The sequence below is a fragment of the Homo sapiens genome, chromosome 20 (assembly GCF_000001405.40).
Source record: "Homo sapiens chromosome 20, GRCh38.p14 Primary Assembly".
Lineage (NCBI taxonomy): Eukaryota > Metazoa > Chordata > Mammalia > Primates > Hominidae > Homo > Homo sapiens.
Genome location: NC_000020.11, coordinates 33,395,383 through 33,414,967, shown reverse-complemented (window position 1 = coordinate 33,414,967; position 19,585 = coordinate 33,395,383). Strand labels below are relative to the sequence as shown.

At 49.2% G+C, this 19,585-nt stretch overlaps 2 protein-coding genes and 1 long non-coding RNA gene across 20 annotated transcripts in view, besides 2 other annotated features; 2 read left to right on the top strand and 1 right to left on the bottom strand.

Annotated features, from left to right (window-relative positions):
* SNTA1 (syntrophin alpha 1) overlaps positions 1-7,011 on the top strand; it is a 35,807-nt gene extending 28,796 nt beyond the window's left edge. For 2 of the 6 annotated variants that reach the window (NM_003098.3, XM_024451971.2), the window contains exons 4-8: positions 2,186-2,393; positions 2,542-2,672; positions 4,637-4,833; positions 6,080-6,267; positions 6,369-7,011. In NM_003098.3, coding sequence (NP_003089.1) covers positions 2,186-2,393; positions 2,542-2,672; positions 4,637-4,833; positions 6,080-6,267; positions 6,369-6,461 — 817 coding nt within the window. In that variant the 3' untranslated portion in view covers positions 6,462-7,011. Of the gene's footprint in view, positions 1-2,185; positions 2,394-2,541; positions 2,783-4,636; positions 4,866-6,079; positions 6,268-6,368 lie in introns of all 6 variants that reach the window. The other 4 variants (NM_001424413.1, XM_011529008.2, NM_001424414.1 and 1 more) reach the window with 4 other exon arrangements.
* LOC124904889 (uncharacterized) lies at positions 334-13,386 on the bottom strand. The gene is made up of 2 exons (XR_007067567.1): positions 13,293-13,386; positions 334-4,915 (listed from the first exon to the last, which is right to left on the bottom strand). It is a non-coding gene; the product is annotated as an uncharacterized LOC124904889 (long non-coding RNA).
* Positions 13,309-13,508: an enhancer, noted in NCBI's record as "active region_17730". NCBI's record gives its function as "activates an Ori minimal core promoter by ATAC-STARR-seq in GM12878 lymphoblastoid cells {active_cell/tissue: GM12878}" and the evidence as "EXISTENCE:reporter gene assay evidence [ECO:0000049][PMID:35858748]".
* CDK5RAP1 (CDK5RAP1 mitochondrial tRNA methylthiotransferase) overlaps positions 13,399-19,585 on the top strand; it is a 42,731-nt gene continuing 36,544 nt past the window's right edge. For 3 of the 13 annotated variants that reach the window (NM_001365728.1, XM_047440195.1, XM_047440197.1), the window contains exons 1-2: positions 13,399-13,540; positions 17,884-18,207. In NM_001365728.1, the coding sequence (NP_001352657.1) occupies positions 17,904-18,207 (304 nt within the window). In that variant the 5' untranslated portion in view covers positions 13,399-13,540; positions 17,884-17,903. Of the gene's footprint in view, positions 13,541-17,883; positions 18,208-19,585 lie in introns of those variants that run through there. The other 10 variants (NM_001278168.2, NM_001278167.2, NM_016408.4 and 7 more) reach the window with 5 other exon arrangements.
* Positions 13,649-13,738: an enhancer, noted in NCBI's record as "active region_17729". NCBI's record gives its function as "activates an Ori minimal core promoter by ATAC-STARR-seq in GM12878 lymphoblastoid cells {active_cell/tissue: GM12878}" and the evidence as "EXISTENCE:reporter gene assay evidence [ECO:0000049][PMID:35858748]".

Here is a 19,585-nt window from a genome sequence, read left to right as displayed (position 1 = left end):
CAGTGTTAGGATTGCACTGGGCTGCAAGTACAGAAACTCCAACAAGCAATGACTTAAATAAAAGGGGTTAATTTTCCCACATGTTTAAAAAGAAGTCCAGGGGTCAGCTATTCAGGCTGCTGTAGATGCTCAAGGATGCCATCAAGGAACTAGGCTTCTAGCTTCCTGCTCTACCATTTTAATTATGGGCGGTTTTCTTCTTCGTGGAGGCAGGATGGTGGCTGCATCCCAAGAATTGTGTTCATATTCCAGGCAGAAATAAGACAAAAGCCAAAGAGTCTTTTCTGCTAGTATTTTGGCTATCTGTTGCTGTATCACAAACCAACCCTAAAATTTAGTGGTTTAGAAAACAATAATTTATTATTTCTTTTTGAGATGGGGGATCTCGCTCTGTCACCCAGGCTGGAGTGCAGTGGTGTGATCTCAGCTCACTGCAACCTCTGCTTCCCAGGTTCAAGTGATTCTGGTGCCTCAGCCTCCCAAGTAGCTGGGACCACAGGTGCCCGCCATGACGTCTGGCTAATTTTTTGTGTTTTTAGAGGAGATGGGGTTTTGCCCTGTTGGCTAGGTTGGTTTTGAACTCCTGGCCTCAAGTGATCTGCCCGGCTCAGCTTCCCAAAGTGCTGGGATTACAGGTGTGAGCCACCATGCCTGGCCTCAAGCCTCTTTAGTTTTGTTGTTGTTTTGTTTTTCTGTTTTTTTTTTTTTTTTTTTTTTTTTTTGGTTTTTGAGACGGAGTTTCGCTTTTGTTGCCCAGGCTGGAGTGCAATGGCACGATCTCAGCTCACTACAACCTCCACTTTCTGGGTTCAAGCGATTCTCCTGCCTCAGCCTCCCTAGTAGCTGGGATTACAGGCATGTGCCACCACACCCAGCTAATTTTGTATTTTTAGTAGAGATGGGGTTTCTCCATGTTGATCAGGCTGGTCTTGAACTCCCTACCTCAGGTGATCCACCCGCTTTGGCTTCCCAAAGTGCTGGGATTACAGGCGTGAGCCATCACACCCTGTCTGTTTTTCTGTTTTTTTAAGATGAGGTCTTGTGCTGTCATCTAGGCTGGAGTGCACTGGCACCCTTATAGCTTACTGCAGCCTCAAACTCCTGGGCTCAAGTGGTTCTCCTGCCTCAGCCTCTAAGTAGCTGGGACTATAGGCACGTGTCACCATGCCTGGCTAATTAAAAAAAAAATTTTTTTTTCTTTTTTAGAGATGAGTGTCTCACTTTGTTGTCCAGGCTGGTCTCGAACTCCTGGGCTCAAGCCATCGTCCTGGCTCAGTCTCCCGAAGTTCTGGGATTACAGGCGTGAGCCACCATGTCCAGCTTAGTTTTTTTTTTTTTTTTCCCCTGCTCTTATTAGTGAATTAGTTTGGTTCTGTGCAACAAGGAGAACCTGGGAGCTGGCCCAGAAGAGGATGTTCCTTAGAAACCAGGAGAAAGGGGCAAGATTAGGAATAGCCACACAGCAATAATTTAGGCCCTATTACACCATCATGCATGTTTCAGTGTGTGTGTATATTTGTGTGTATCTGCATACGTGTAGGCTGGGCACGGTGGCTCATGCCTGTAATCCCAGCACTTTGGAGGGCGAAGGCGGGGTGATCATTTGAGGTCAGGAGTTCGAGACCAGCCTGGCCAACTTGGTGAAACCCCATCTCTACTAAAAATAAAAAAATAAGGCCAGGCATGGTGGCTCATGCCTGTAATCCCAGCACTTTGGGAGGCTGAGGCAGGCGGATCACGGGGTCAGGAGATCGAGACCATCCTGGCCAACATGGTGAAACCCCATCTCTATTAAAAATACAAAAATTATATGGGTGTGGTGGCGTGTGCCTGTAATCCCAGCTACTTGGGAGGCTGAGGCAGGAGAATCACTTGAACCTGGGAGGCAGAGGTTGGGCCATTGCAGTGCAGCCTGGGTGACAGAGCGAGGCTCTGTTTCAAAAACAACAACAAAAACCCCACAAAATATATGAACACGTGTGTATATGTCACACTCGCTTGTTCCTATGCCCCATGAAGCCCCAGCAACTGTGGCTGGAGCCCAGCAGTGAGGGTTGCTCCTGATTCTCTCACGGACATCCCCCTGGTTTCTCCTGGTTTGGTGGTGGGTGGGGTTTCTTGGGCCAGGGTTGGGCAGCTGCAGCCTAATGGTCAGGTCCTTGTCTCCACCCATTTGTGCCTGCAGGTATCTGGAGATCTGCTCGGCAGATGGTCAAGACACCCTCTTCCTGAGGGCCAAGGATGAGGCTAGTGCGAGGTCGTGGGCGACTGCCATCCAAGCCCAGGTCAATACTCTGACGCCGCGGGTCAAGGATGAGCTGCAGGCACTGTTGGCAGCCACCAGCACAGCTGGGAGCCAGGACATCAAGCAGATTGGCTGGCTAACTGAGCAGGTACCTGCTGGGCCTGGGACCTATCCCTCTCTCTCTTCCGCTCCTTTGGAGCTGGCCCTGTTCCCAGTGCCCCTGGCCACCTCACCCTGCCCTGGCCCTCTGCCCTCTCTTCCCCCACCCATCCTCACTGCTGTTTTGTTCTCTGCAGCTGCCCAGTGGGGGCACAGCCCCCACCCTGGCCCTGCTAACTGAAAAGGAACTGCTCCTCTACTTGTCTCTCCCCGAGACCCGCGAGGCCCTGAGCCGGCCAGCCCGTACTGCCCCACTCATCGCCACCAGGTACCCACAGGCAGGGGCAGTATGTCTCCCCCAGAACTTGCCAGGAGATGCTCCAGCAGGGCCCCAGAAGCTGGGAACTCCAGCCCTGTCCACCCTCAGCTATTCCCCAGGTGACCTGAAGCAAGTCTCTGCCCTGTCTGGGCCTCAGTTTCCTCATCTGTAAAATGGGTGCTTGGAACAAAAGGATATAAGGTCCCCATTAGCCACTCATTCGCTGACACTTATGCCTTGTGCTGCATGGTTCAGAGGGCACAGAGCTGACCCCAACAGTTTCTGCCTCCAGAGAGAACCTTGTCTGGCTGGGGAGACAGACCCAGGAACAGCCATTACAGTGCAGGGTTTGTAGGAGCCACTTAACTCTGTTGGGGTAGTAGAGGAAGGCTTCAGGGAGGAGGTGACATTTGAGCTGGACTTTGATGGATGAGTAGAAGTTTTCTGTTTAAGAAAGGGTGAAAGAGCATCCCATGCAGAGAGAACATCATGGTCAAAAGTACAGAGGCATGAAGGGCTATAGCATGTTCATGGAGCTATGAGTTTGTGATAACCAGAATTCATGCAGGAAATGGAGAGAAGGGAGTTGGCAGGGCCTGATCTTGAAGAGCTTCTATTGCCTGATTAAGGAATGTTAGCTTTAGCTTAAGAGTTTGGTAGTGTTGAAGGGTTTAAGCTGGGGAGCGAGGTGCTCTGGTTGCTTTAAGAGAATCCCTGTGGCTGCCACGTGGAGAATGCAGCGGAGAGTGCAGGATGGAAGTGGGGAGGTGCTGCAGTCATGCAGGAGAGATGATGGTGGCTGGGGGAGGTGGAGGTGGGTGGCAGGAGCAGATGGGGAAGAAAGGCAGCATTGGCATTGGAAACCACATGGGTGTAAAATTAACAGGGCTCCGTGCTTGCCAGATGGGGCGGGTGAAGGAGGGGTCCGGAATGAACAGGAGGTTTGGAGCTTGTGTCTGGGTGAGCGTGGGACTGGGGGTGGGGGTGGAAAGGGAGGAGGCTGGAGCAAGATGCTGAGTTAAGTCCAGAGTGTGTGTGGGATGGAGAGGGAGCTTGGATAGGAAGCCTGGGGACTCGAGGGTCTGCAGCTCAGGGCTGGAAAGTCGAAGGCGGGTGTCAGCAGCAGTCTGTGGCGGGGGGAACTGAGCTATAGGAGAAAGAGTGGGTGGAGGGAGGAACAAAGAGGGATATGGGGCAGAACTTTCTGCCCCAGAGAGGGGCAGTTGGCTTACCAAGGCCACACAGCAAGTGAGAGTCAAGCTGCAGGGGTCTGAAGTCCTTGTCCCCCATGTCTCCTTACCTCAGGCTGGCTCTGGCCCGTGTGTCAGGAGCCTGCTGGCTACTAGGGATAACTAGGTCCTGGACTGTCTGCCTAATCAAGTGATTCAAGTTAGGCAACAAAAGTTTACTGAGCACCTACTGTGGGCAGGCATGGTTTTAGTTACTGGGAATACAGTGGTGAACACAAGATCAAAATTTCTAACCTAGTTGACATTCTAGTGAAAAAGACAGTCAAAAACCAACGAAAACAAATAATAAAAAGTATAATTTCTGGTACCATGATTAAAAAGTAAGGCTAGTGAGTGACAAGGGTGCTATTTTGGACTGGGAGGTCAGGGAAGGCTTCTCAGAGGAGGTGACATTTAAACTAACATCTGAAGGAAGTGAGGGAGTGAGCCGTGCAGATAATCAGGGAAGCATGTATAGGCAGAGGGAAGAGCATATGCAAAGGTGCTGAGGCAGGCATGTGCTAGGTGTGTGTGATGACACCAGTATAGCCAGAGCCAAGGGAGTGACGGGGAGGGTGGCAGGAGATGTCTCCTGCTGAGTCAATCAGTGCCCCCTGGCAAGTCCTGTCCTGTTAGGTGGTAAAGGATTTACAGGGTTTCTTCCCAGGTCACTGGCCCCTTTGCCCAGAACTATTTGCCTCCGGCCTGAGGCCTCATGCTCAGCCCTCTGCCCCCAACCCCCAGACTGGTGCACTCAGGCCCCTCCAAGGGCTCAGTGCCCTACGATGCAGAGCTCTCTTTTGCCCTGCGCACGGGCACGCGTCACGGTGTGGACACTCACCTGTTCAGCGTGGAGTCACCGCAGGAGCTGGCTGCCTGGACCCGCCAGCTTGTGGATGGCTGTCACCGGGCCGCCGAGGGTGTGCAGGAGGTGTCTACAGGTGTGCTGGGAGGATCTGGGAGTGTCCCTCTGGTAATAAGCCTCTTATCCCCAGGGGCATTCAAGCTTCCTTCTTTAGGGCACTTCAGGAGGGGATAGAAAATGGGGTTTGGAGGTCAAGGTGGGTGGATCACCTGAGGTCAGAAGTTTGAGACCAGTCTGGCAAACATGGCAAAACCCTGTCTCTACTAATAATACAAAAATTGGCCAGGTGCGGTGGCTCACGCCTGTAATCGCAGCACTTTGGGAGGCTGAGGCGGGTGGATCACTTGAGGTCAGCAGTTTGAGACCAGCCTGGCCAAAATGGTGAAACCCTGTCTCTACTAAAAATACAAAAATTAGCCGGGCATGGTGGTGGGCGCCTGTAGTCCTAGCTACTCGGGAGGCTGAGGCAGAATTGTTTGAATCTGGGAGGTGGAGGTTGTAGTGGGCCCAGATTGTGCCACTGCACTCCAGCCTGGGCGACAGAGCAAGACTGTCTCAAAAAAAAAAAATAATAATACAAAAATTAGCCGGGCATGGTACTAGGTGCCTGTAGTCCCAGCTACGCAGGAAGCTGAGGCACGAGAATCACTTGAACCCGGGAGATGGAGGTTGTGGTGAGCCGAGATTGCGCCCACTGCACTCCAGCCTGGGTAACAGAGTGAGACTGTTTCTCCAAAAAAAAAAGGAAGTTGGGTTTGGGCCCTCTGTTTTGGATGTGCAGGTGCCCTAGCAGGCAGAGACTCTTCTCCCTGGGGTTTTCTTGCCCCAGTTTTGTCAATCTGCTGGTGAGGATGTGAGAGATGGCACTTGGGGTAGGGTTGCCAGAGGAAATAAATACAGGACACCCAGCCTCATTTGAATTTCAGGTTAACAATGAATACTTTTTTCACAGAAGTATGCCCAAATTAGTCATTGTTTATCTGAAATTTAAATTTAGCCGGGTAACTCTGCAGGTCTCCAAGGGCGGTGCTTGGTAGATCTGATGATGCCTTTATCAGCAGTGAGCCTCCTGTCCATGGCACATTTTAAGCTCCCCCTTTCTACTTGTGCTGCTGGAAGTGGGACTGGAAGTGGGTGTAGGTCCTCTGAGGGTGGGGGTGATGACTCTCTGCAGGGTGGGTGTACTGGTGCCACGACAAACAGTGAGCCTCCCATCCCTGGAGGCATTCAGGCCCCACTTTGTAAGCTGCGGTGGGGGTTGGAGGTTGGGGTGTAGTCTCTGAGGTGCCAGCTGTGCCTGTACCTATGTGCCCTCCCTGCAGCCTGCACGTGGAATGGGCGTCCCTGCAGCCTGTCTGTGCACATCGACAAGGGCTTCACACTGTGGGCGGCTGAGCCAGGTGCAGCCCGAGCTGTGCTCCTGCGACAGCCCTTCGAGAAGCTGCAGATGTCTTCAGATGACGGTGCCAGTCTCCTTTTCCTGGATTTTGGAGGTGCTGAAGGCGAGATCGTGAGTGAGGGGCTGCCTCTGCACCCTGGGGAGGAGGGGGTGTGCACTCTCGGAGGCCAGGCTGGCCAGGGCCCTGACTCTTCTCTCCATCCACCCTCCAGCAGCTGGACCTGCACTCGTGTCCCAAAACCATAGTCTTCATCATCCACTCCTTCCTGTCGGCCAAAGTCACCCGCCTCGGGCTGTTGGCCTAGAAGTCGCCGGATGCACTAGCCCTGAAGAGGGGTGTCCATGACATGGCCTGAGCTGGGCCTCCACCGACTGCCTGCTCACCCCTGGGCTGAGGGAAGGGAGAGGAGAGGAACAAGGGCCTCCGAAACCCCAACCCTGAGGGAGACTGGATTGGTCTTGGGGCCCAGGACCCAGACGCAGGACAGAGTGGACTCTGCCTGTGATGGGGTGGCCTTCCTGCTGCCCCCCTCCACCAGTGCCTTTTGCAGAGAGATATTTTGTGTACACAGAAGCCATTCCGAGTCTGGGACCTGCCCCTGTGCGGATCCTGACCCCAGCCAACAGCTGAGCTGCCGGGCCTCCTCGAGGCCCCTAAGCCACCCCCAGAGGTCCCATCTGAAGCTGGAGTACCCTGGGGTCAGCAGCAAGAGAAAGAAGAGGAGATTTTCTGTTTGTTTTTCCCCTCAGCCCTGCCACCGTGGGGAGTCTGGTTTTTCTCTTCATCCTGTCTCTCTCCTCCTTACTCTTGGATAAATAAACAGCCTGTGAGCACACAGGCAGCCCGGCCCAGTGTATGTGGTCTGTGCCTTGGCCTTTGGGTCCTGGGGTGGCCCCTGCAGTCCCAAGATGGACCAGACCAAGGACTAGGGCACCTTTCCCTGGAGAAGAACAGACCTTTACTACATGGGCCAAAGACAGTGTATTGGTTATCTATTGTTGTGTGACAAATTATCCAAAATTTGCAGCTTAAAATGACAAATATTCATTATCTCTTAGGTTCTGTGGGTCAGAAATTTGAGAGGGGCTAAGCTGGGCTGTTCTTGTCTCAGGGTCGCTCATGAGGTTGCAGTCAAGTTGTCGGCTAGGGCTGCAGTCATCTGAAGGCTTGACTGGGGCTGGAGGATCCATTCCAATACTGCTCATGCACATGGCTGTGGGTAGGAGGTCTCAGTTCCTCACCATGTAGGGCTAACCCTAGAGCTGCTGCTTGAGTTTTCTCATGATATGGCAGTTGGCTTTCCCCACAGTGAGACAGAAGAGAGGGCAAGGAGGAAGCCACAAACAGTGCCTCTTATGACCCGGTCTTGGAAGCCTTACACTGTTGCTTCTGCTTTGTTCTATTCATTAGAAATGAGTCACTAAGTTCAGTCCACACTCAAAGGGAGGGGAATTAGGCTCCACCTCTTGAAGAAAGGAATGTCAAAGAATTTGTGGACCCATGTCAAAGCCATCTTAGAGAGCTTCAGGACCCTTTCCTGCAGAAGGGAGGTGGAGTGGAATGTGTTTGGTACTTCGGAAACTGCGATGTGCTGGCTGGATGTGAGTGGGCAGTGGTTATGACTCCCTACCTAAAATCACAATGACAATGGCAATGATGGAGAACTTTTTTTTTTTTGAGACGGAGTCTTGCTCTGTCACCCAGGCAGGGTCTCATCTCACTGCAACATCCACCTCCCGGTTCAAGCGATTCTCCTGCCTCAGCCTCCTGAGTAGCTGGGATTACAGGCGCCCACCACCATGCCCCACTAATGTTTTGTATTTTTAGTAGAGATAGGGTTTCACCATGTTGGCCAGGCTGGTTTTAAACTCCTGACCTCAAGTGATCCTCCTGCATCAGCTTCCCAAAGTGCTAGGACACCGTGCCAAGCCCAGAACTTTTTTTTTTTTAAACTTTTGAAAGGTTCAGTTTCTTTAATGTAGCGACAAGATAAAACAAAGATGATGTGCCTGGTGTGATGGCTCATGCCTGTAATCCCAGCACTCTGGGAGGCTGAGGTGGGCGGATCACCTGAGGTCAGGAGTTCAAGACCAGCCTGGCCAACATGGTGAAACCCTGTTGCTACTAAAAATACAAAAATTAGCCGGGCATGGTGGCACCTGCCTGTAATCCCAGCTACTCAGGAGGCTGAGGCAGGAGAATTGCTTGAACCTGGGAGGTGAAGGTTGCGGTGAGCTGAGATCGCGGCCACTGCACTCCAGCCTGGGTAACAGAGTGAGACTCGGTCTCAAAAAAACAAACAAAACAAACAACAACAACAACAAATTAGCCAGATATGGTGGTGTGCACTTGTAATCTCAGCTACTCGGGAGGCTGAGACAGGAGAATCATTTGAACCCTGGAGGTGGAGTTTGCAGCGAGCAGAGATTGCGCTACTGCACTCCGGCCTGGGCCCCAGAGCGTGACTCTGTCTCAAAAAAAAAAAAAAGAGAGACCAGGTAACTTAACTTTGAGGCAATCACTTTTAGCTTACTTACAATGGTAGCATTGTTTCTTTGTGAAAATGAAATTTTCTCAGCTTATCCACTAAATTTTCAGCAACATCCCAAACCACCAAAGACTCACTCCTTTTCCTTCTGGCCATCAGCAGTCTGGTGCCTTCACTTGGAACACCACCCTCCGCCCTATTTTTTGTTTTGGAGGTGGGGTCTCGCTTTGTTGCCCAGGCTGGAGTGCAGTTGCGGGATCCCAGCTTACTGCAGTCTCGGCCTCCCAGGCTCAAGTGATCCTCCTACCTCAGCCTCCCAAGTTGCTAAGACTATAGGACTGTGCCACCATGGCTGGCTAATTTTTTATTTTTTAATTTGTTGTAGAGATGGGGTCTTGCCATGTTACTCAGGCTGGTCTCACACTCCTGAACTCAAGCAATCCTCCTGTCTTGGCCTCAAGCAATTCTCTTGCCTCAGCCTCCTGAGCAGCTGGGATTACAGGCGCTCGCCACCATGCCCGGCTAATTTTTTTGTATTTTTAGTAGAGACGGGGGTTTCACCATGTTGGCCAGGCTGGTCTTGAACTCCTGACCTCAGGTGATCCGCCTGCCTCGGCTTCCTAAAGTGCTGGGATTACAGGTGTGAGCCACTGCGCCTGGCCATAATTTTTGCATTTTTATTAGAGATGTGGTTTCACCATGTTGGCCAGGCTGGTCTCGAACTCCTGACCTCCAGTGATCTTCCCACCTTGGCCTCCCAAAGTGCTGGGATTACAGATATGAGCCACTGTGCCTGGCCACTATATGTATATTTCTACATCTAGAATGAGATTTATCATAAGGAATTGGATCAAGTGATTATAGAGGCTGAGAAGTCCTACAATTTGCCATCTGCAAGCTGCACACCGAGGAAAGGTGGTGGTGTAAATTCCAGTTTGAATCTAAAAGACTGAGAATCAGGAGTGCCAATGGTGTTTAAGTCCCAGTCCAAGGGCAGGAGAAGACCAATGTCTCAGCTTAAGCAGTCAGGCAGACAGAGAATTCAACCTTGCTCTGTCTTCCTGTCCTATTTGGGTCCCCAAGGGGTTAGATGATGTCCATCCAGATTGTGGAGGGTAGTCTACTCTACTCAGTCCACCAAAGCTAATCTCTTCCTCAAGAAACACCCAGAAATAACGTTTAACTAGATATCTGGGCAACCTGTGGCCCAGTCAAGTTGACACAAATAATTAACCAGCACAGTGTTCTGCATTATTTCCCAGTGTTCTCCAGCAGGATTAAGACCTAGATGCCTGCAAGAAAGTTGCTTGTTAACAATGTTTATTGGCTGTCTCCCCTCCCTGTTTCACTCCCCTACTACCCTACCAGTGTTTCCTGAGATTACTTTGCAAATCAACTACCTGCACTCAAATACTTGTCTCAGTAGCCGGGCACAGTAGCTCATGCCTGTAATCCCAGCACTTTGGGAGGCCAAGGTGGGTGGATCACCGCAGGTGGGGAGTTAGAGACCAGTCTGGCCAATATGGTGAAACCCTGTTTCTACTAAAAATACAAAAATTAGCCGGGTGTGGTGGCGCTTGCCTGTAATCCCAGTTACTCAGGAGGCTGAGGCAGGAGAATCGCTTGAACCCGGGTGGTGGAGGTTGCAGTGAGCCAAGATTGGGCCACTACACTCCAGCCTGTGTAACAGAGTGAGACTTGGTCTAAAAAAAAAAAAATACTTGTCTCAGGTCTGCTTCTGGGGAGCCCAAACTAAGACAGAAAGCAGTCATTTATTCATTCAACAAATTTTCATTAAGCCCTTCTATGAGTCAGACCCTGTGTAGATCATGGGGATAAAGCCATGAACAAGACACGACGTGTCCCTCCCTAGCTGATAGTCCAGGGAATAGGCAATGATAAGAAAATAAGTAATGCCAACATTTTGAATAGTGACAAATATGGTGAAGAAAATAATAAGAGAAGTGATAGAGTAGTTTATATGAAGTGGTCAGAGAGGGTCTCTCTGAAGAGCTGATATTTATGCTGAGACCTAAAGGATGAGAAGGGGCCAGCCACGAAACAATTTTGGAGAAGAGCATTCCAGAAAGATAATAGTAAGAAGAGAAGCTCTGTGGGCATGGTGTTGCGTGCCTGTAATCCTAGCTACTTGGGAGGCTGTGGCAGGATAATTGCTTGAACCCGAGAGGTGGAGGTTGTAGTGAGCCAACATCACGCCATTGCACTCCAGCCTGGGTAACAGAGCAAGACTCCGTCTCAAAAAAGAAAAGAAAAAAAAAAAAGGACAGAGGGTCTGAAATAAACATTTGCTTGGGTTATTGAAGGAGCAAGATAAAATTATGTAGTTGAAGTATAGTCAACTAGAAAGAACACAGTAGGAGAAGTAAGTGGTAAGAAGTACATGGGTTGGAGAAGTAAAAGTAAGCAGGGGGCCAGACATGGTGGCTCATGCTTGTAATTCCAGCACTTTGGCAGGCTGAGGTGGGAGGATCACTTGAGGCCAGGAGTTTGAGACCAGCCTGGCCAACATGGCGAAAACCCATCTCTAGTAAAAACAAAAATCAGCCGGGCGTGGTGGTGCTCGCCTCTAATCCTAGCACTTTAGGAGGTCGAGGTGGGCGGATCACTTGAGGCCAGGAGTTTGAGACCAATCTGGCCAACATGGTGAAACCCTGCTCTACTAAAAATACAAAAATTAGTTTGACGTGGTGGTGCACGCCTGTAATCCCAGCTACTCGGGAGGCTGAGGCAGGAGAGTCGCTTTAACCTGGGAGGCGGATGTTGCAGTGAGCCGAGATTGCACTACTGCACTCCAGCCTGGGCGACAGAGTGAGTGAGACGTCGTCTCAAAAAAAAAAAGCAGGGGCCACATCATGCAGGCCCCTAGGATACAGTAGGAAATCTGGATTTTATTGCACGGGCAATGGAAAGCTCTTAAGCTTTTTGTTTTTGTTTTTTTCTTTTCTTTTCTTTTTTTTTTTTTTTTTGAGATGGAGTCTTGCTCTGTCGCCCAGGCTGGAGTGCAGTGGCTCGATCTTGGCTCACTGCAATCTCCGCTTCCTGGGTTCAAGCAATTGTCCTGCCTCAGCCTCCCGAGTAGCTGGGACTACAGGCACGCGGCACCATGCCCAGCTATTTTTTATTTTTTATTTTTAGTAGAGACGGGGTTTTACCATATTGGCCAGGCTGGTCTCGAATTCCTGACCTCATGATCCACCCACCTCAGCCTCCCAAAGTGCTGGGATTACAGGCATAAGCCACCGTGCCCGGCTGTTTTTGTTTTTTTCTTTTTCAAGACATGGTCTCATTCTGGTACCCAGGCTGGAGTGCAGTGTTGAGGTCATGGTTCACTGCCGCCTCAACTTCCCTGGCTCAAGCAATCCTCCCTGCCTCAGCCTTCTGAGTAGCTGGGACCACAGGTACCCACCACCATGCCGGGGTAATTTTTGTGTTTTTTGTAGAGATGGGGTTTTATCATGTTGCTCAGGCTAGTCTAGAACTCCTGGGCTCAAGCAATCTGCCCATCTTGGCCTCCCAAAGTGCTGGGATTACAGATGTGAGCCACCACGCCCGGCCTGCCACGGAGAGTTTTCAGGAGAGGGGTGATATAATTTGATTTAATAAAACAAACACAAATTCCCTTAGGCTATGTGTGGGAAACTGTTCTCAGGAGACAAGGTGACCATTAGCAGGCTACTGTGATTGTTTCTGATGAGACAATGGTGGCCTGGGTAGTTGTAGCTACCGAGTAGACAGATTTGACATTTTGGAGTTAGAGTTGACAGGGCTTACTGACAGATAGAATGTGGGGATCCAGGGAGGTGAAGAAAATGACCATTCAGTTCCTCCTAGTGCACCTGGAAGGATGGTTGGGCCATTTACTGAGATGGGCCAGAATGACAGGTACAGGTTTTTGGTGAAGGTGCATGTGTGGAAATGAAGAGTTCTGTATAAGTTAGAGATGGTCATCAGACACTCAAGAAGGGGTGTCAAGTAGGCAGCTGAGCTATGGCTCTGGTACTGCAGGGAGGGTCCAGCTGGAGATGTGAATCAGGAAGTCATTAACCTACAGGGCAGCACCCTCCAATAGAAATAGAGCGTGAACCTCTTAGGTGACTTAAAATTTCCCAGTAAGGACCGGACACGGTGGCTCATGCCTACAATCCCAGCACTTTGGGAGGCCAAGGTGGGAGGATGGCTTGCGCCTAGGTAGGAGTTTGAGACCAGCCTGGGCAACATGGGGAGACCGGTCTCTACAAAAAAATTAAAAAAATTTTAGCTGGGCGTGGTGGCGCCTGCCTGTAGTCCCAGCCACTTGGGAGTGTGAGGTGGGAGGATTGCTTTAGCATGGGAGGCGGAAGCTGCAGTGAGCCATGATCACACCATATTATTTTTCCCCCTGCTAGCCACATTGAAAAAGTAAAAAGAAACAACAGGTGAACTTAATTCAAATATTTCTACCACCATAGCTACAAATAAAAAAAACTAATTCAACAAATGTACTTATTTAATCCAATATATCCCAACAATTATTGCAGCACATAATCAATATAAACATTATATATATGAACTATTTGACACTATTTGACATTTCTTCTTCCACATCCAGTGTATCTGACATTTAGCGCACATTTGATTTGCACTCACCCACTTTGAGGAGCTCAATTGCCGCTTAAGTCCGTGGCTAGTGGCTGCCCTAAAGTTCAGCACCGCCACGGAGCTTTGGGTCCACCCGGACTGTAAAAAGGAAGCACTTCCGTTAGCATGACCCGGCCTGAAGTAGCGGCGGAACGGAAGTCGCTTGTGTATGAACGCAGCGGCGGACCTGTGAGGGGATCCGACTTGCCGGCAGAACTTACGCTGCGGGACCCCGGGCACTGTTGCTGCTGCGGGAGGTGAGCAGCGCGGCCGCCGGGGTGGGCTGCGCACCCGCTTTTGACTGGCGCCTGGGGCAGGAGGGGCCGCGGATCCCGGGAAGCGCACGGTGTTCAAGAGGGAGGATGGCACGGTGGTTATGGCGTGGGGCCTGGCGTCAGGCTGTAGGGGTTCGTACCCTAACCCCGCCGCCTAACCCCGTGTGACCTTGGACAGGTCACCTCCACTTCTTTCAAGGCTTCGCTTCGCCACCCGTGAAGTGGGGTTGACAGTACAGCCTGCCTCACAGGGTTGCTATGAGGGTTATAGGTAATAATTCGCGGAAAATGCTTTGCACCATGCCTAACGCATTGTAACCAGCCAATAAAATGTTTGGGATGTTGTACGCTGTTGTTCCAGCCTCATTGCCGACTGTCAGAATTAATTTCGAGCCTCCAGAGAGGCTTCTACATTGCGTTATGCAAAGCATTTTGCTTGTATTATTGCATTTGATCCTACGGTAGGCTTATGGAGATAGGTGCTATTATCCCCATCTAGAGGCTCCCAGAGTTTAAGACAGGTGCCTAAGGTTTAGCTGGCTTGGCAGCAGTGGGGTCAGATTCTGACTCCAGGGTCCATACTTTTTTTTTCTTGAGACGGGAGTCTTGCTCTGTCGCCCAGGCTGGAGTGCAGTGACGCGATCTCGGCTCACTGTAGCCCCTGCCCCGCGAGTTCCAGCGATTCTCCTGCCTCAGCCTCCTGGGTAGCTAGGATTACAGGCGCATACCACCACACCCGGCTAAGTTTTGTATTTTTAGTGGAGTTCATACTCTTAACCAGGATGCTCTAATACTCTCTGTGAAAGGGGGTGTGGGCTGTAAATGTGCAGTTAGTGAACGCTTACTGTATCTCAAGTTGGGTTTTTAATATCTTATTCTTAATAACACTTATGGGGTGGTAGGTGCTGCTTTTATCCTTATTTTACACATGTGGAATTGGCGGCTCAGAGACAGAAATTTGTCTTGCCAAAGGTCACACAGCAATTATGGAGTAGAAAGGGGCGATTTTAAAGTTCACACTTTAAGGCTGTTCTTCTCTGACTCTTGAAACTGGGTTGGCATTGCTCCTAAGTGCTAGTAGCAGATGTGGCAGGTCATCTCATTGGAAAGGTAATGGGCCACATCTGCTCTTTACACGTGTATAGCAGGGTTCCCCTAACCCTAGGTGGTAGAATGGTACCTGTCTGTGGCCTGTGAGGAACCGGGTTGCACAGCAGGAGGTGAGCAGCAAAGCTGGCATTACTGCCTGAGCTCTGCCTCCCGTCAGATTGGCCACGGAATTAGTTTCTCAGGAACACAAACCCTATTGTGAACTGCGTATATGCAAGGCATCTAGTTTGTGCATTCCATTTCCTTTTTTTTGAGACAAGTTCTCTCTCTCTCTGTTGCCCAGGCTGGAGTGTGGTGGCGCAATCTCAGCTCACTGCAATCTCTGCCTCCCTGGCTCAAGTGATCCTCCTACCTCAGCTTCCCAAGTTGCTGGGATTACAGGCACATACCACAATGGCTGGCTAATTTTTTATTTTTTAATTTGTTGTAGAGACAACAAATAAACATGGTCTTGCCATGTTGCCCAGGCTGGTCTCGAACTCCTGAGCTCAAACAATCCGCCTGCCTCGGCCTCCCAAAGTGCTGGGATTATAGATGTCAGCCACCGCACTGGCTCAAGATTGCATGCTCCTTGTAAGAATCTAAATGCCTGAGGTGGAACAGTTTCAACACACCCCTGCTTCCATGTCTGTGGAAAAATTGTCTTCCATGAAACCAATTCCTAGTACCAAAAAGGTTGGGAACCACTGATGTTTAGCACCTGCCGTGAGGCAGCTACCACAATGGGAGATGGTGAAGGTGTAGAAATGAATGATACTTGTTCCCTGCTTGCAGGAACCTGCCAGTTTACTAGGGCTGGCAGAAGTGTCAGTAATAATTAACAGCAAAGTGTGATGAGTCTTGTGATGGAGAGATAGAATAGAGCTTTGGGAACCCAGAGGAGGACCCCACCTAGACTTCGGGGGTGATGGCCAGAGCAGGCTTCCCAGAGGAAGAAAGCTGAAAGTACCATAGGCCACTAGAGAGAAGATAAATACCAGCCAGAGAACAGCATGTGTAAAATCCTATAAGCTAGTGAAGATTAATACAAAGAAGTGTGGCATGGCTGGAGTGTAGTAGGCCATAGATGTGGGGTCCAGTAAAAATATATGGTGATCCTAGAATTCTTCCTTAGTCAGAAAATTAAAAAAAAAAAAAGTAAATAGTATGGCTTCATCTCCTATACCTTAGTCACCTAAGTCTTCCTGGGAGGCAACTATTGTTTCTTATGCATTCTAGAGATATTGTATGTACCTGCAAATAGGTACCTCAATATTCCCACCCTCTTTCCCCACAGATTCAACAGTAGTATAATGTAGGTAGCATGGAGCATATTGCTTCCTTGCCTTTGTCATGTATAGGTTCAGCCTCATTTATTTTTATTTTTATTTTTTTGAGATAGGGTCTTACTCTGTCACCCAGGCTGGAGTGCAGTGGTGCGATTATGGCTTACTGCAGCATTGATCTCCTGGGCTCAAGCAATCCTTTCATCTCAACCTCCTGAGTAGCTGGGACTACAGGTGTGCATCACTGTGCTCGGCTATTTTTTGTTATTTTTATAGAGATGAGGTCTCACTATGTTGCCCAGGCTGGTCTCGAATTCCTGGCTCAAGTGATGTTTCTGTCTCAGCTTCCCAAAATGCTGGGATTATAGGCATGAGCCACTGCACCCGGCCACCAGCCTTGGTTTCTAACAGTTGTATCTTGTTTCATTGTATGGATGCACCAGAACTTACTTAACTAGTCCTTTATTGATAACATTTAGATCTTTCCCTTTCCTTTGCTATTAGAAACACTGTTGCATTGAATATCTTTTATTTTTATTTTTTGAGACAGTCTCACTCTGTTGCCCAGGCTAGAGTGCAGTGGCGTGATCTTGGCTCACTGCAACCTTCTCCTCCTGAGCTCAAGAGATTCTCATGCCTCAGTCTCCCGGGTATCTTAGAATACAGGTGTGTGCCACCACATCCAGCTAATTTTTTGTATTTTTAGTAGAGATGAGGTTTCACTGTGTTGGCCAGGCTGGTCTCGAACTCCTGGCCTGAAGTGATCCACCAGCCTCAGCGTCCCAAAGTGCTGGGATTACAGGCATGAGCCACTGTGCCTAGACTGAATGTCTTTATACATAGGTCATTTTGTATGTGTATAGATTTATCTGCAGGATAATTATGAGTGGAAATGCTTTGTCAGATGGTTTGCACACTTGTAATTTTGATGGAAAGTGGCAAATTGTTCTCTATAAAGGTTGTGTTATTTGCTAAGCCAAGTGTGAGAGGGTCTGGGTGGAAAGTTTGAAGGTAGTAGTTTGAAACTCTTTTTTTTTTGTTTTGAGATGGAGTTTCGCTCTGTTGTCCAAACTGTAGTGCAGTGGTGCGATCTCGGTTCATAGCAACTTCTGCTTCCTGGGTTCCAGTGATTCTCCTGTCTCAGCCTCCTGAGTAGTTGGGACTATAGGCACTTGCTACCACATCTGGCTAACTTTTGTATTTTTAGTAGAAATGGGGTTTTGCCATGTTGGTCAGGCTGGTCTTGAACTCCTGACCTCAAGTGATCCTCCTGCCTCGGCCTCCCAAAGTCCTGGGATTACAGGCATGAGCGGCTGCATCCAGCCAAGACTCTTGAAGGGTAGAAGGAGTCACTGATCGGGCATACAATGCCCTCACATTAGTTGCTTTCCTTCTGAAGGAACTCAAAGGAAGATGCCCTCAGACAGTGAGTGGTTTTCACTTTATTAAGAGGCAGTGTAGCAAGATGGGTAGTGGCACGGGCTTTGCATCCATACAGATTTTTATCTGAGTCCTTGTTTGACTGCTTACTGGCTGTAGGAGCTTAGGTGAGTTCCTCAACCTATGTCTTTCGGAATAGGAACAATAATAGTATCTGCTTCCTAGGATTGCTGTAAAGATTTAATGAGTTAATACACTTAAAGCCTTGGGAACTGGTCTTGGCACAAGGTGCTATTTTGTCATTTTGTCAGGGCTTTCCATCTCATCTCTACCACCCCTTGTTTTGAAAAGACTGCCTGGATTTGCATCTCATCTCTGGCACTCCTTTGTGTGGTCTTGGGCAAGTTGCCTCAGTTTTTTTCAACTGTAAAACAGAGGTCATATTATTAGGAGTACCTTCTTCATGGGCTTTTGTGAGGGGTAAATAGATGTATACACTTGAAGTGCTCACAGCAGTGTCCTGTCCATAGTGTTCAATAAATGCTGGTGATGTCTGTCATTCTTTTGCAGACTGTGGGCTGTTTAGTGCCATGCACCCTTTACAGTGTGTCCTCCAAGTGCAGAGGTCTCTGGGGTGGGGACCATTGGCCTCTGTGTCTTGGCTGTCGCTGAGGATGTGCAGGGCACACAGCAGTCTCTCTAGTACCATGTGTCCCAGTCCAGAGAGGCAGGAGGATGGAGCTCGGAAGGATTTCAGCTCCAGGCTGGCTGCTGGACCGACTTTTCAACATTTTTTAAAAAGTGCCTCAGCTCCTCAGGAGAAGCTGTCTTCAGAAGTGGAAGACCCACCTCCCTATCTCATGATGGATGAACTTCTTGGAAGGCAGAGAAAAGGTTGGTTTTACTTCGCTTATCCCTTTGGGCTTCCTGCCTTGCTCCTCTCTGTCATTCCTGGCATGATTCTTTTATTACAGAACTGGCTTGGAAGGTTAACAGTGTGGGAAGGCTGTGGGAATCATTAGACTCCACCAAGTAATATTAATATCAAGAAACTCGACTGGTCACGGTGGCTCATGCCTGTAATCCCAGCACTTTGGGAGGCCAAGATGGGTGGATTGCTTGAGCCCAGGAGTTCAAGAACAGTCTGGGTAACATGGTGAAACACTGTCTCTACAAAAAATAAAAAATTAGCCAGGTATGATAGTGTGCACCTGTAGTCCTAGCTACTCAGGAGGCTGAGGTGGGAGAATCATTTGATCAAAAGCTGATTATCATTCAGCTCTTAACTTTTAGTTGGAATTTATTGGAGTCTGGAAATAAGACCTGCTGGTGGGGACGGGGGTTGATCTTGGAATATAGTTTGAAGCTGCCAGAATGTGAAATTCATATTCTTACAACTGTGTACAAAATTAGTTTTACTTCATAATATAGCCTTGCTTTCATTTAAGATGAAGTTACTGTAAGAAGATGCCTCATTTTAATTTTGTGACTTTATGTACCCTCTGGCCACTGCTGCTACTTCCAGAGGCTGGAAAACCTCTTTATTTTGAGGAGGAGTGTAACATGTGGATTTAAACTTATTTTCCCTTCAGGCTGATGAACACTATCAGTTAGCCCTTCCTTTTCTTTTCTTTTTTGTTTTTTTTTGAGTCTCGCTCTGTCGCCCAGGCTGGAGCACAATGGTGCGATCTCAGCTCACTGCAACCTCTGCCTCCTGGCTTCAAGTGATTCTCCTGCCTCAGCCTCCTGAGTAGCTGGGATTACAGGTGCACGCCACCACACCTGGCTGATTTTTGTATTTTTAGTGGAGACCTGGGTTTCACCATTTTGGCTAGGCTGGTCTCGAACTCCTGACCTCAAGTGATCTGCCCGCCTTGGCCTCCCAAAGTGCTGGGATTACAGGCGTGAGCCACCACCCTCGGCCTAGTCCTTCCTTTTCTAATTGTTTTTATAACTATATTTCCTTGATTCTCAGGTACATGTTTTCCCCATTTAAAAGATAACATGGCTTGTAATTGGTGTGGATATATAATGTGGTATATTTTTTTGTTTGTTTGAGACAGGTTCTCACTCTATTGCCCAGGCTGAGTGCAGTGGTGTGATCATGGCTCACGGCAGCCTCAGTCTCCTGGGCTCGAGCAGTTCTACCTCAGCCTCCTGAGTAGCTGGGACCACAGGCATGTATCACTTGCCTAATTTTTAAATTTTTTGTAGAGACAGGGTCTCCCTATGTTGCCCTGGCTGGTCTCAAACTCCTGGGCTTAAGTAATCC